This window comes from Homo sapiens, chromosome 10 (assembly GCF_000001405.40).
Source record: "Homo sapiens chromosome 10, GRCh38.p14 Primary Assembly".
NCBI lineage: Eukaryota > Metazoa > Chordata > Mammalia > Primates > Hominidae > Homo > Homo sapiens.
This window is the reverse complement of record NC_000010.11, coordinates 52,649,140-52,665,777: the sequence shown is the minus strand read 5'-3', so window position 1 is coordinate 52,665,777 and position 16,638 is coordinate 52,649,140. Positions and strand designations below refer to the sequence as shown.

The 16,638-nt window shown below is 36.9% G+C and overlaps 1 long non-coding RNA gene across 1 annotated transcript in view, besides 1 other annotated feature; it reads left to right on the top strand.

Moving 5' to 3' along the window:
- The window catches only part of LOC105378305 (uncharacterized), a 198,425-nt gene that overhangs the window by 89,627 nt on the left and 92,160 nt on the right, over positions 1-16,638 (top strand). The window lies entirely within an intron of this gene.
- Positions 3,113-3,670: an enhancer, noted in NCBI's record as "OCT4-NANOG hESC enhancer chr10:54421868-54422425 (GRCh37/hg19 assembly coordinates)". NCBI's record gives its function as "activates a minimal SCP1, AML or CMV promoter by ChIP-STARR-seq in naive H9 embryonic stem cells {active_cell/tissue: H9 hESC(naive)}" and the evidence as "EXISTENCE:reporter gene assay evidence [ECO:0000049][PMID:30033119]".

The window sequence follows — 16,638 nt, the reverse complement described above, 5'->3', positions numbered from 1 at the left end:
GATGGTATTTCTAATGCAGTGAGTACTTGAAACCAAGGTGTAAAAATAAGGACATGTAGATCATATTTAGAAGAAAAAGAGATTGTGTCCTTTCTCTGTGTGTTGGCTGTATACAGTGAACTCTAAGAATGTTACTTAAGCTGTCATCCAAGCACTTCGGGAGGCCAAGCTCATGCCTGTCATCCAAGCACTTTGGGAGGTCAAGGTGGGTGGGTCACCTAATGTCAGGAGTTTGAGACCAGCCTGACCAACATGGTGAAACCCCGTCTCTACTAACAATACAAAAAATTAGCTGGGTGTGGTGGTAGACGCCTGTAATCCCAGCTACTTGGGAGCCTGAGGCAGGAAAAACACTTGAACCCGGGAAGCCGAGGTTGCAGTGAGCCGAGATGGCACCACTGCACTCCAGCCTGGGCAACAAGAGCGAAACTCTGTCTCAAAAAAAGAAAAAGAAATGTTACTTAAAATGGATCAGTTTAATTAGGCTTCTTCTAGAAGCAAGCACATATTTTTTAAAAGCCTAGTAGTTTGCCTTAGAATGCTCTATTAGGCTTTCCTCCAAGAAATATCATAAAAAGTTTAGGACTATTTGGTTCTCCAGAATAGAAATGCCCAGACTTTTGTAATTTGCCAAGTCATAAACATTTTAAAGAGCAGGAGGCATCATAAGGACAGCAACATCTTATTTTGAGACAATTTTAATTATTATTTTTATCACCATAAATTCATAAAAGAAATGAGATTACAACAACAAAAATTGAAGGATCCTAACTTCAGAGTAAATTGTAATCTTTTAAATAGAAAAAAGTTAGTTTTGTGAACAATTCCCTACGTTATCACTTTTCCTCATCTCCCCAAACACCAAAGAAAATAATCTCTTCTGGGAAAGTCAGGAATCACTGATTACTCAGGCAAGTAGACTCATTTATTTTTTGGAAAGTTAGCAAGTGCCCTGTGTGAGTAAAACTTTTACAGTGGTGGACTCATAGGTTAAGGCTCGATCTATGAGTTTTCTGCCTTTCCATTACAGCCAGAGTCTCAGTCCACCAGAGCCTCAGGCCGAAGACCTGAAGCATGTATTCCAACTCCCTTGATTTTCTGTAACTCTTCAAACCTTCTGTGTTTTAAATTTCTGAACCCTGCAAAAGGTTCAGAGCCTCTTCACTGCCCTTCCCCTTCCTCTGCTCCAGGTAAACATCTATTTACTCTGATCAGAAAGAGTCACCAATCTTCCTTACTGTACTCCAGACATCATTTTAAACACTCCGCATACACCAACTCTCCTAATTCTTACTACAGTCCTCTGAGGTAGTTGTTATTATTATCAAAACCCACCTTTACAGATAAGGAAATTAAGGAACAGATCTTTAGCTTGCCCAAGGACACTAAGCTAGGAAAGAGAAAGCTAGATTCAAACCTAGGAAAACTATTTACAGAGTCCAAGTTCTTAACCACTATGTCGTGCTCTCCCTTTGTGAAGATTTTATAATTTGCTCAGATTTAATCAATCTTATAACTTATAACATTTATCAATGTATTCCTAGAGGTTATATTTTTATACCCCTAGATACACTAAATCTTAAGCTTCTTAAAGAAAGGAGTTGAATCTTATCTCATTTTATATTTCTTCCCACTTCGAATCCTACCACAAATAATGTATAAAGGTCATTCAGAAAAAAACATAGTAAATGAATTAAATGTAGATTATTTTGCAAAGTTCAGAATACATAAATCTTTTTTTTCTTGACTGTGAAATACCATGCCTTTTCTCTGCTCCCATCTATTACAACAAGAGCTTCAAAAGATTTCTAAGACATTTCCCAGTTTTTGTTTGAAAATTTGACAGGAGAATTTCCGTGTTTGAAAAATTTGACTATTTTTCTCTCAAATTAAGTACTTTAACTTCTTCCTAAAGAATAATTCATCAACTTATTAAGTGACTTTTAATGCTTAGCTATATAAGTAAGTGTTATAATGATGAAGTAAACAGTATTGTTCCTATTCATTTATATTTATGTGCTCATTCATTTCCTTTAACAAATATCTACATTTGCTATGTATTGCATTAGATAAAAGACAGGATTATTTTAACTGAGAACTGAGACTGGTAAACAAACTGGGAAACCAACAATATTAGACAAGTTTGACAGTTGACCTGCAAGAAGAATCTGCATGATATAATTGCAGAAAATAACATGGAGGATGATAGCAAATTTGTCAAGACCTCATGAACAAGAGGTGATTGTGCATCCTTTATTATGGAAACCTCATGGCAGGCCACAGTTTCATTAAAAGCTGGTTACTTGCCAGGGGGCTGTTAGTAGGTTGTTCTTATGCCGAAAGAATGATACACGCCCACCTTCTGTGCTCCCCAGTTTCTTCCTCTCTGTACATGAGAAATGTTTCAGTTGGATTAGCTTTGCACTTGGCTGTCTGATTTAGAAAGGTTGTGAGGAGATCACACGGAGCCAATTCAAAGGCTGCTGTACTTCCTGAAATATATGGTTCTCATAAGCAACACACTTTGAGTCTAAGAGATGTTTGAAGTGAGTCAAGATAAGCCTTTGTGGATCCAAGTTTCAGTGGTGACCTATAATTACCAATATTGAGCCTCTCAGTTTTCTTCATTTCTAAAACTCATTGCTCAGTGTTTCCTTGCCACTCTGCTGGCACAGTCTGCAAATGAGTGCTTTTGGGAGACTGCATCATAAGTGACCAAAAAATTTATCCCACATTTGGAAATACTGAGAGACCACATGTGAAATGGAGATACCAAATAATTAGCAAGATGTGAATCCTTGTTTAAGATAACATGGAGTTCATCTTCTGGCTCTCTAATGCATTGAAATGGGAGTAGTAACTAGAAGGCATTCATTCAGAATATTATAGAAATGTTTAAAGGTGGGGGAGAACAATTTTTTATAATGCTGTTTGATTCTGTTAGAACCTATATTCCTGAATTGATTCTGCAAATACGGCATTTGAATAAATCATCTAAGAATTGAAAATCAACCAAACAATGAATGGACACCCCCCAGAGAATGCTATGCTGTTTTCATAAAGCACAGGGAAAAGAAAATGAGAACAATGAAAGAAGTTAGACTTATAGATGCTTGGGGTATTCCAATCACTTTATATTTCTGTAAAAGTAAATCTTACTGATGGATAGTTCCTGCCTCATGCTGACAGTTTACAAATAGGAATAGCAAGGTCCCATTTTAGAGCAGACAGTGTGGAGCCCTCTTCAAAAGCATCTTTAAATTAGAGTGACAGAGCTTCACAAGCATTTTCAGTAGTAAAGGATGAATATTAATACTTCAAAGACAACAATAAACTAGATCTATAGTCTTTCACCCTTCCCCCTTACTGTAACGGCAAAGATTGGCCCCCTGCAGTTGGATGCTTTGTTTCCTTGATTTTTGCACTCTTCAATAGAAAAAGCACAACAGCATATCCCTCATTAGCAAAACTTGTGATCTACTGAAACAGTGTTTCAATTTGAGAAGATCTGCCTCTAGATTCCTCCTAATCTGGCTGAATAAGCACAGATACATTAATGTATATTCATTAGGACTATTTATTTTTTCAATCTGTGTGGAACAGAGGAACCCAGGTGAGACAGCTTGGCATAAAAACTTGAAAACAGACAGGATCTGTGTAACAAATTCTGCCTCTGTTCACTTACTAGATGTACAATCTAGGGGTCATAACTTAATCTAACTACTTTACCCATAAAATAGAAATGAAATAAACAGCAAATAAAAACACTGACAGGCTTACATGAAATCCAGTACCTGATAATAATACGTCAGTCAAGAGTGGATGGTTTTATTGTTGCTTTGTTAATATTGCTATCATCATCAAAGGGAAGCTACATCTTACTGGAGATGACTACTATAGAGGTAAACTAAAGTTTTTCATCTGCCTAGGCATTGAACCAAATAAAATAGGGGAAGCTGACAGCAAATACTCAAAAAATCCAGTTCTTAGCCTGGCTCTGCCACTACTTGTATGACTTTGGAAAAGTGGCTTAATCTCTTAAGTCTCTTATTTAATGTCGGGATAATCACCATGTTTATTTTATAGGGTTTTTGTGCGGATTAAAGAAGGTTTTTTTTTGTTTGTTTTTTGTTTTGTTTTTTTTTTTTTTTTTTTTTTGAGACGGATTCTCGCTCTGTCGTCCAGGCTGGAGTTCAGTGGCCTGATCTCGGCTCACTGCAGGCTCCAGCTCCAAGGTTCACGCCATTCTCCTGCCTCAGCCTCCCAAGTAGCTGGGACTACAGGCGCCCGCCACCGCACCCGGCTAATTTTTTGTATTTTTAGTAGAGACGGGGTTTCACCATGTTAGCCAGGATGGTCTCGATCTCCTGACCTCGTGATCCTCCCACCTCGGCCTCCCAAAGTGTTGGGATTACAGGCGTGAGTTAAAAAAGATTTTAAGCAAAGTTCTTAGTGTTATTTCTGGTTCATAATTAAGTGTTCAAATAGTGTTACCAATTATTAACATTATGATTTATTTTATTATTCAGTCTCAATGATAGTTTTGGTAAGAGAATACTAAATGTTTGATCAAAGATAAGAGAGTAGAAGTTATAGATTTCAAAAAGTCATTCGAAATATATTGCAAAGAAACAAAAGCAATAACAATCTGAATGGTAGGCAGAAAAGACACAAAAATGCTCTGAAAACATTGACAGATGAAAATAAAGACTTAAGGAGAGATTTCCCATTTAAATATCCATACTACCTAAAACCATATATAAATTCAATGTAATCCCTATCAAAGCCCAATGGCGTTATTCACAGAAATAGAAAAAAAAATCGTAAATGTGCATAGAATCACAAAAGGTCCTGAATAGTCAAAGCAATTCTGAGGAAAACAAACAAAGTTGGAGGCATCATGCTTTCTGACTTAAAATCATTTTACAAAGCTGTAGTCATCAAAACAATATGGAACTGGCATAAAGACAGTTACATAGACCAGTGGAACAAAAAGGAGTCCAGAAATTCAAACATATAGCCAGCTAATTTTTGACAAGGGCATCAAAAATACACCAAGGGAAAAGGATCATTTCTTCAACAAGTGGCACTGGGAAAACTGAATTTCTACATGCAAAAGAATGAAATTGGACCCTTATCAAACCATATTCAAAAATCAACTCAAAACAAATAAAAGACCTAAATGTAAGACCTGAAATCACAAAACTTCTACAAGAAGATATAGGGGAAAATCTCCTTTACATTGGCCTTGGCAATGATTGCTTGCACATCACACCAAAAGTTCAGGCTATAAAAGCAAAAATAAATGAGACTCCATCAAACTAAAAATCTTCTGCACAGCAAAGAAAACAATTAACAAAATGAAAAGGTAGCCTATAGATTAGAAAGCAATATTTGCAAAACCATATATCAGATAAGGGGTTAATATCAAAGATTTTTAAAGAACTCATACATCTAAATAGCAACAAAGCAAATAATCAAGTTTAAAAATGAGCAAAGGACTTGAGTAAACATTTCTCCAAAAGTGACATAAAACTGGCCAACAAGTACATGAATATTTGGCCAATATTATGAATCATCAGGGAAATGCAAATCAAAGCCACTATGAGATACCCCCTTATACCTGTTAGGATAGTTATTATCAAAATGGCAAGAGATAACAAGTGTTGGTGAGGGTGTGGAGAAAAGGCAACTCTTGTACATTATTGGTGAAAATGTAGATTGGTGCAGCTGTGGTGAAAAACGGTATAGAGATTCCCAAGCCGGGCATGGTGGCTCACGCCTGTAATCCCAGCACTTTGGGAGGCTGAAGTGGGTGGATCACCTGAGGTCAGGAGTTCGAGACCAGCCTGACTAACACAGCAAAACTCCATCTCTACTAAAAATACAAAAATTAGCTAGGCGTGTTGGCACACTACTGAGGAGGCTGAGGCAGGAGAATCGCTTGAACCTGAGAGATAGAGGTTGCAGTGAGCCAAGATCGCACCATTGCACTCAAGCCTGGGTGACAGAGCAAAACTCCATCTCAAATAAATAAATAAATAAAATAAACAGAGTTTCCCAAAGAAGCTAAAAGTAGACAATCATGCCGGGTGCAGTGGCTCATACCTCTAATCCCAGCACTTTGGGTGGCCGAGGCGGGCAAATCACCTGAGGTCAGGAGTTCGAGACTAGCCTGGCCAACATGGTGAAACCCCATCTCTATTACAAATACAAAAATTACCTAGGCATCATGGCACATTCCTGTAATCTCAGCTACTCAGGAGGCTGAGGCAGGAGAATTGCTTGAACCCAGGAGGCAAAGATTGCAGTGAGCTGAGACAGCACCATTGCATTTCAGCCTGGGTGACACAGTGAGGCTGTTCTGTCTCAAAAAAAAAAAAAAAAAAGAGTAGAATAATCGCATTTCTTTTCTGGGTATATATCCAAAGGAAATGAAATCACTTCCTTGTAAAGATATCTGCACTTCCATGTTCATTGCAGCCTTATTCACAGTAGCCAAGATATGGAAACAACTTAGAAACAACCTAGATGTCCATCAGTGGACAAATGGATAAGGAAACTAAGGGGGGTGTGTGTGTGTGTGTGTGTGTGTGTGTGTTTGTGTAGATAACTTCTTTATTCATGCTATTTGTCCACTAATGGACACACACACACACAATGGAATATTATTCAGACTTTAAAAAGAAAGAGATCTTGTCATTTGCCACAACATGGATGGACCTGGAAGACATTATGCTAAGCGAAATTTGCCAGACACAGAAAGAAAACTATTGCATAATCTCACTTATATGCAAAATCTTTTATTTAAAAAAAAGTCATATAGATAGAGATAGAAAGAGAATAAAAACATTGTTTGCCAGGGTAGTGTTGGTGGGGAATGGGGAGATGTAAGTTAAAGGATGCAAAGTAGCAAATATGTAGGCTGTCCAAAGATCTAATGTACAACATGAAACTATAGTTAATAATAGTGTTTTGTATTCAGTATTTTTGTTAAGTGAGTAGATTACAGCTGTTCTTGCCACAAGGTGAAAAATGGGTAACTATGTGAGATGATGGATGTGTTAATTTGTTCCGCTATGATAACTATTTTAATATAAATTTGTATTTTACAACATTATGTTCTATACCTTAAATATACACAATACATGAAATAAAATTTATTTCAGAATAAGTAAAAAAGAAGAGAGACCCTTATTTATCTAACAAATACTTTAAAATACAAAGGGGCAAGCACTACTGTTAGCACTTTATAAATATTAATTTATACAATCTTAGAAATCCTACAAGGTAATTATGTACACACACACACACAATGGAATATTATTCAGACTTTAAAAAGAAAGAGATCTTGTCATTTGCCACAATATGGATGGCCTTGGATGACGTTATGCTAAGTGAAATATGCCAGACACATATTCAGTTTTACAGATAAGGACTGTGAAGCCAGAGAAGTTAAGTAATATACCCGAAGTCATGCAATTAGTAAGTACAGAGTCAAAATTTGAAACTAGATAAATGCTTCAGAATCTTTGCATTTACCCACTTAATTTACCAAAGAATTTCTCTTCCATGCCTGTTTAAAGTGTGTGCCAGAAAAAAATGGCCAGAGTGAAAATATCGCTAGATTAGGGACTTAGCATAAAGGGAACACTGAATCATTCTATTAATTATTGTCTTTGAGGAAAATACTTAAACTAGAGTTAAGGGCCCACAAGGGACCCAAGAAACAAGGCTTGAATAAGTCCACTATGAGAATAATAAAACGATGTCATCTTAGTAGTAAAACATTAAAGTAAACCTAGAAAATTAACTGGAGATGTAAATTATTTGAAAAGAGCTTTGAAAATAAGAGATGGCAACATTGTATTTTCTCCCTGTGTCTAATCTGCATGGCATTTTGCCCACGGGATTGAAAAGTATCAAAGAAAGTCAGCAGACACTCAAAGATGCTAACTAATATATTATTCTGGAGAAAAAGGGTAATGGTGGAAAAGAGTTTTTCAATTGTTGATACCAAGAAACTTCTATTTGCAAAAGGCCCTTTCACTTACTGACCCCCAATACATCAACATTAAATGATAAATGTTTTCCATTTTGAATGCCCCATCTCTACCAATAATCACATTTTGATTCTGTCTATATGTTAAAACAAACAGTAACAATAACAATCCAAAAATATAACCATGTTACCATTTTTTCCTCTAAACTTTTGGAAAAATTTCTATAATTTCATGCAGATGTTGATTAAAGATGCATGACTTGAGTCTTCAACATGATAGATAAGATACCTAAGGTATAATTATTTATTCATTATCTAAGATTTTAACATTTAACCACTGAAATTAACTTTTGTCACTTCCCACAAGTTGAACCCCAAGAGTAACAGTCAAGTACAAATCCTATACGTATGGTTTTGTTAGCAGAGCACGCATCTAGTAAAAATCCAATGGACAAACTCATGCTTAAGCATGAATGTAGAGGGCAAATTTGGCAATGCGTGTGAGAAAGGCTTGAAATTTTGCTTGCAATTTGATCCAGAATTCCCAGCTTTCAAAATAATTTTAAGGAAGTATGCAAACTTTGTGTGCAAGAACATTTGATGTATAGATTGTCATGAGACGAAAAACAATTAATTAAATGTTTAATAACAAGATATGGTTAAGTAATTTGTAATACATCTACCTAATGTAATAAAATACCATTATGGAAAACATGTTGCTAAGAATGTACAAGAACAATAACATGGTAAATGGTTCATGATGTATTATGTCTATAAATAAAAGTCCATAGAAAAAAGGCAGAATAAATACATTCTAGAACATGATTATTTCAGGAGATAATTGGCTATTTTAATTTTTACACTTTTATTTATTTTTTATTTTCTAAATTTCAACTTTTGTTATGAAAGAAAAGTTTATTTTTTATTTTTTAATGTAAAAATTTGTTCTCAATCCTCAGAGTCCCAAAAGGAATAATTAAGAATCCCTAGAATCTATGCCAATAACTAGAAACTGGACTGAACAGGGAAGGTATTGAAGATTTCTTTCTACCCTACAGCTTTTCCCCCAACACAGGTTTTGTTTTAGGTATTACTGTCATGAAATACAATACATGATGCTCTTCAGCCAAAAGCATATTATTTATTCCAGAAGTTCCTTAAAACCCTAGGAACCCGAATATATTTTTACTTGTGAGCTGGGATGGATACTATAAAAAACAAACAAACAACAACAACCAAAAAAACCTTTTAAGATATGCTTGGCTTTTGTTCTTTCAACCTTGTACCCTAGAGTAACATTATCCAGTAGAACTTTCGGTATTGATGGAAATGTTCTATATTTGCACTGTACTTTATGGTAGTCACTAATACATCTGGCTAGCGAGACTGAGAAACAAAATTTCTCATTTTATTTAATTAAATGTCAATAGCCACATGTGACTGGTGGCTACTCATTGGGCAGTGTTTGGGAACAGTTATCTGGATGTTTCCTGTTCTGAACTCCACCCTGGACCTGTCCAGTATTTCCAAGCAATTCTCTACAAAACACTTATCCTCTCATTTATTCATTCACGTATTAACTACTATAACAATTTTACTAAGTATTGCATGCTAGTCTTGGTATTAAGATCTGTGTTACTGGACTCAGTCGTCAACAAGACAGCCACACTCCCTGTCCTCAGAGTTCACATAGTTTAGCAGAAATAAAGATGGTTTTCTTGCCTCAAATTGTATCTTCTGTGTTTTGTCTCACATACTACTGAGAAAGAAAAAGATAGATTCTGGTCCATGAAGTCATTTTTTGCTATGCTGAAACTGTATATTCACAAATATATTCAGTTCTGCCTCGGATCCCATCAAAGGTCCTTCTTTCTCCATTGGGTGCTTTGAGTCCTTCCAGGATCCCTCCCTAAGACTGAAGTGTAGGTGTTTTCCTACTGGGTTTCTCTTCCTGGGAAAACAGACACTAGTTAATTCTTCAGAGCTCAAAGCCTAATTCATCTGAGAAAATGGGAACTGGAAGCACTGTATAAATCAAGACTTTTCTCTCTGCCTCTGGGAAATGAAAGTGCTTTCTCTACTAGCTAAAGTTCACGGAATAAAACCTAATATGTCATCAAATTCAACTTTTATTGATCCTCTAGGATGTCTAAATTATTGAACTAGGTATTACGGGTCATCAAAGACCCAAAAGACTTGGTCCCTGTCTTCTACAAAACCCAAAATTGAATAGAACCCAAATAAAAGTTACCACATGACTTCACTTTCTTAAAAAACGTAATTCCACCAGTCTTCCTAAAGCATTTGAATGGAAAAAAAAAGCGATCAAAACTTGTGTACAGGCCCATGTTTGGTTCATCTTTCCATCTCAAACAAATGTAAAGGGAGGATCTCAACACAGTATTCAAAATTATATTCAGCCTGGTAACAAAGATAAAACTACAGTTGTTGTGTAAAGGAGATTAAAATTCAGTTGGAAACATGTAGTTCGTGTGCTACATACATGCAAAAGTATTAATGAAAAATCTCAGTGAACTAGAGTTCTTACCAACAGAGAGGCCCACCTATTAGTCTCTAAGGGTCCTTGAAATGTTACCCAAGTGGCTCAGGATTCTGCACTCCATTTTGAACAAAGGTCACAGTGGTGTTAGAAAGTCTGAGGGCAAACCTGCAATTCCCACTTACCAGTTTTGTAAGTGTGAGCAAATTATTGAGAGCCTCTAAGTTGCACTTTTCTTACCTATAAAATGAAGGCAGAATCCACCTTAGTTGAATAATGTAAAAATTAAAGATAATATATGAGCAGGGCCTAGCACTATGCTTGCTTGTAATAGTTATTCAATAAATGCTAGATGGATTAGAGGATCGTTTATTGAGGAGATATTTATTGCCAAAGTCAAACAAATAGGCAAATAGACAAACAATTTATATTATAGCTCAGAAGGTGGGTCTTCCCCAACACAAGGCAATGTAAGAAGCACCTACACTGTGTGAAGAACTAGATAGACCACAGGTGGCCTTCTCAATCATGATAGAGAACAAAGAAATGACTCTCTCCAGAAAGAAGACAATCTGCAATAAAATCTTAAATAGTCCCAATAACATTACAAGCAATTTGGACTTCTCTGTATGTCCAAATGCTCCTCTATATGTCCATGCTTTCATGATGTCTCTGAATATTTATCTTCCCTCTGGAGAAAAGACAACTCCAAATGACTTTATGCTGAGCTTGAAGCATCTGTGGTCAAATGGTGAACTGGCATCATTATTTCCATTTTACAGATAAACTTAAGAGAGTACTGAGAGATAAACCGAGAGTGTTGAAAGTTCAAGGGCCCTGCCACTATCTTACAGGAGCAAAACTAAAGAGAGAGTACCAAGAGATAAACTGAGAGGGTGCTGAGGGTCCAAGTGCCCTGCCAGTATTTCCCAGAAGTGAGGCTGGAAATGAAACGAAGTCTACACTGCTTTCTGCTAGGATGTGCTAGGTAAATGCTCTCCCTAACCTTAAATAGCATTTGTCTCTGTTATTAGCAGCTATTAGTGAAGACACTAACCTTAACCACATTTCCCTTGTCATTGTATTTGTTCATTTACCAAGAAATGATGTGATGGTATTATTATTATTATTATTATTATTATTATTATTATTATATTTTTTCTTTGCAACAAAGTTTTGCTCTTGTTGCCCAGGATGGAGTGCAATGGCGTGATCTCGGCTCACTGCAACTTCTGCCTCCTAGGTTCAAGTGATTCTCCTGCCTCAGCTTCCCAAGTAGCTGGGATTACAGGCACCTGCCACCACACCTGGCTAATTTTTGTATTTTTTTAGTAGAGACGGGATTTCACCATGTTGACCAGGCTGGTCTTGAACTCCAGACCTCAGGTGATCTACCCAAATTGGCCTCCCAAAGTGCTGGGATTACAGGCATAAGCCACCACACCAGCCGATGTGATGTTATTATTTCAGGCTCACATCAACGGTATTAGCACTGGATGTCACTGTTGTTCCATGCAAACAGAACACAAGTGTGCCTCTTCCCTCGTGAATTTCAGAAATGACCCAGTTACTTAGGGAACAGCTCATCATGTACTTTGGCAGAACCACACAGTACTCCCCACCCAGCCTGGCATTGGCATTGCTATTTTCAGATTCTAAATCTAATCTATTCCAAGAGCAAGAGTCCAGGGAAAAGGCCATTAAATGTCTGAGGCACAGAGTCTATACAACATCTGACACTGAAATTACTAGAAAGGTCTATTTGCGAGCAAAAATTTCTGCCCTTGCTATATATTTTATTTTTGAAAAAACCTTAATACTTTAAATGCAAATATGAATCGAATGAATTTCATCATTATCCCATGAAGAGTTCCAGAAGGATTTCTTTGGTGAATGAAACACAAATATTAACTATTGCTTCTTCTCCCACTCACTTCATAATCATGTAACAGCCAGTTATCAAGGCTACAAAAGGTCTGAGTCTGACCTTCTAACCTGCTCTTGGACATAAGCAAGCACAGCAGGCAATGTATTTCAAGGCAATTACAGGCATAACTCGAGTATTTATAGGATACAACATTGTAATAGAACTATCTTTTTGGTATTTCCGAGGTAACACTTAAATCCTGCAACAGTGGTGGCCCATCAGTGGTGGGAAAAGACCAGTTCCTCCTGAGGGTGGAAAATAATCTTGTAGTTCAAGTTAGTGAAGGATGGGCATTTCTTCTTCCATTATATTCAAAGTGGAATGAGTGTGCTGCAGCTTTTTTTTTTTTTTTTTTCATGATTTCCTCATGATAATGTTGCGGTTACTTTAGCAGGGGGTGGAAAACTGATAAGTGTAATTGCTGTAATCACAGGATGTATAGGATGTAAATATTTGCAGGGCAATTAAAAACTATTTGCCTCTTTAGCTTCTTAAAATAAGAGGTACATCTGAGCAGCAAACAAGTGGAGAGTTTAAGAAAACAAGCAGAAAAGATTTTTAAGTGGCAAGAATATGAGATGATTTATCGAGCATTCATTTTGTGGTTTGGTCAGATACGAACGTTGGGGGAAAAGAGCAAAATATTGTGGATCAGGAAAATTGTGTCATCAAATAACTAAAAATAAATCTCAGAAGAACACCCCAGGGTTATAAATGATCACAGTGTGTGGCATTGTCAATTATCCTCTCAAGCTGGCACATTGTTTAGGAGGATGTCTAACTGCCAAGTTGTTATTGTAACAAGCCAACGGGCTTGCCTCATTCATTAAATACATGGAGGATGGTAGTCAAAATAAACCATGCCAGTTGACCACCATCCAAAGTGGCAGTTTTTCTTTGAGAATAAGGTTTTCTTTTTCACTCTTGCCTGATTCATATGTAAATACTTCCTATTTCTCCTAATGTTTCAAGAAACATTTTGATTGTATTTGACTCATATCTGCTAAATTTCTGTACATATTATTATCTTTACTACCAGTAGGGATAGTGAAAAAAGTAAATTCTACATTGTGTTGATGAGAGAGTTTGTATAAGGTAGGAAAGAAGGGGGTTGAACAGCATACAGATACTTCTACAGCCAGGTTAACATTTACACACGCCAATTAAGTTGTACAAAAATAGTAATTTGTTATGTTCTATAATTGACCTTATTTTGCCCTCCATCATGCTGATTAAAAAAAAAAAAATCCCAAACAAACAACCCTAAAACCTGATGAACAGTAACTCTGTCTCTTGTGGTTTTAAAGGCTCTCAGGTTAAAACACTCTTTTTTTTTTTTTGAGACAGAGTCTCAACTGTGTCACCCAGGCTGGAGTGCAGTGGCACGATCTCAGCTCACTGCAACCTCCACTTCCCAGGTTCAAGCAATTCTCCTGCCTCAGCCTTCTGAGTAGCTGGGACTACAGGCATGCACCACCATGCCTGGGTAGTATTTTTTTTTTTTTGTATTTTTAGGAGAGATGGGGTTTCACCATGTTGGCCAGGCTGGTCTTGAATTCCTGACCTCGTGATTCGCCCACCTCGGCCTCCCAAAGTGCTGGGATTACAGGCGTGAGCCACCGTGCCCGGACAAAACACTCTTAAGGGTAAACAATCATTTTGGATTTCTTACCTCTTCAATGCTTTTAGGATGGTATCTAGGGACATGCAATCTCGTGAGAAGAAGTAAAAGACAGCTATGATCCACAATTTGTCCTCTGCCAGCCCTGCTGACTCTGACTGATGAATAAAAGGGAGGTCGTGGCATTGTTCTCTCTCCTTGCTGCATGTGTTTGCTGTAGTATCTGTGGATTCTAAAGCTAAGGTCTGTGCTGTCTGGGTAGACAGAGCTGAGTGACTGCTTCTATGAAAGTCAGCAAACTCCTCATGCTAGTGAGGCTCTGAACTTTGATTCTTTCTGGCAGCCTTGATTCTCTGAGACTTATTGCCATTTTCTTGGGGCTGTTGACCTTGCAGTGGTCTCCACACCTCGAGCACATGATAACCCCTTGGCAGTTATGCCTAATTTTATTTAGTTATTCTGTCTTTTCATTCTCGACTCACATAATTCTTCCCTCACATGGTCATGCTGGAATATCTGGGCCTTTTCCATATCAGGTGCAGACTGTAGACCAGGGGTTTTCTGTCCCAAGGCTACACATCTGGACCCTTTCTCTGCCTGTTACTGATCCAGCACTATGCGCCATGTTGCACGATGCAGGAAGCAGAGCAGAAGCTTCGCTGTTCTCTGATTTCCCCTTGCACAATACAGAATCCAGTTCAGAGGCTATCATATGCCTCTTCTCTCTAAACCTCACCCAAAGGACCTTGGGCAGCTTGCTCATCCTCACCTAAATCACCTGGTTTTTACAGCCCCTCATTTTCTAATCTCAGAAGTTGAAGAGTTTTCTATTTCTATTTTCTATCCCAAGGAAACACCATCTCTTTTATCTTTCCTCACAGAGTACCATAGCAAAGCTCTAAGCCTTAAATTCTAAGTTCGATCCTTGATGTAAAAAGGAAGCTTTAGGATTTAAAAAATCTATTTTTCTTAAAAAAAAAGTAAAATCATGACTTGGTAGATATTATCTTGCTCTGGATAAAAAAAAAATTGAATCAAATTTTTCAGACCGAAAATTGACTTCATTCTCTATCTTCTTACAAGTAATTACAGGCATTTGAGTCTCTGGATTAAGGATTACGAGGTAACAAAAAATGGAGAAAATCAGTTTGGTGTCTTAAAAATATATCATCTCACCTAAACTGCTTATTCAAAAACCCTCAACAGTCATCCAGTGCTTTTTGAATCTGTACAAAGCTACGTGATGCTAAAGGCCTCCACCCCTCCCAGGCCTAGGATTTCAGGTGTCCCTCTCACTTCTGTGTAAGAGAAAAAGAGATTTAATGACTCTAAGCTAAAAAACTCACAGCTAATGAAGAGAAATAGTCAAGAGGCAGATTTTGACTAATCTAGCAGAGTCTCATTTCAGTCAAAGTTAGATTCTGAAATTAGTACTTAAGGCAAACGCTGCATTTATAAAAGTTATTCTTGAAAATTCTTTAAGTTGCTCATAAAATAATTTATTTTTTACTCTATGAAAAGCTCCAAATATAGTATCTTTCAGTTAGTCTGATAACCAATTTTTACTCCAGAAATAGGGGAAATGCTGTATGAAAAAGATGTATCTTCAAACTCTGCAATCATATCCAGTGATGCTCACATTATAAGGGGCACATAAACAAGGGAATAGAAAGAGAGAAAGTAATTATAGGATAAATTTGCTGTTACTAAAGAGTTATAATATTCTCTTTCTTGGAATTCTAACATAAAATGATTCATAAAATGCCTGGGCACATTCAGGATTGGATGGATATATTTTCTAGTTGGTGGATTTCTATTGTTTCCACATGTATACTAATTAAAACAATTTCAAACTTAATTTCTTAAATAACATTTCAGTCTTGCAGAGCATGCTTTTTAACATTAAACTTTGTCTCCCTCTGCATGCTAATCTTCAAAAACACTTTCTAAATCAGTCCTTGTCTGATAAATATGTCTATTTTGTTTAGCTTTTGGACTCATGTTCTACAATAATTTTGATTTTTTTCTGAGCCACAAATTGGAAGCAAAGAAAGCATGAACCCACTGGGTTTTCTTTCCTTTTTGTAAGTTTATACAAAGATGAGGCAACATGTCTTTCAGTAAGTAGATAGTAACTTCTTAATGTTTGCAGAACCAGATGAACGAAATGATAACCTCTCTGTGGGTTAGAATGTCTGATTCCCTCTAGGAGATCTTAAAGAAAGCCAATTAGCATTAGCAGATGTGTGTGCAATGGAGAAGGTAAAAGAAAATGAGGGCAGTAGTAGCTTTTTGGGACTTGGATGGAAAAAAGATAAGATTTCTGGGGAAGGCAGATGTTGGGTTTAAGGCTTTCTGTAGAAGGTCATTAGAAAACTGTGAGATGAAGGGACAGTTACAAATTTAAGAAAGATGTGTCTTATAGGACTAATACAGATACCATATACCAGATATTAGGTAAACAATACTTAAGGACTGTAAGAAACAAGAAAAGCATCCTGCAAGGGGGGAAATATATATCACATTTTCTTTCATTTTGAGGTTGTACTCTGGAGCCAAACATTGTAAGAGCTTTAGGGCAAAATTTG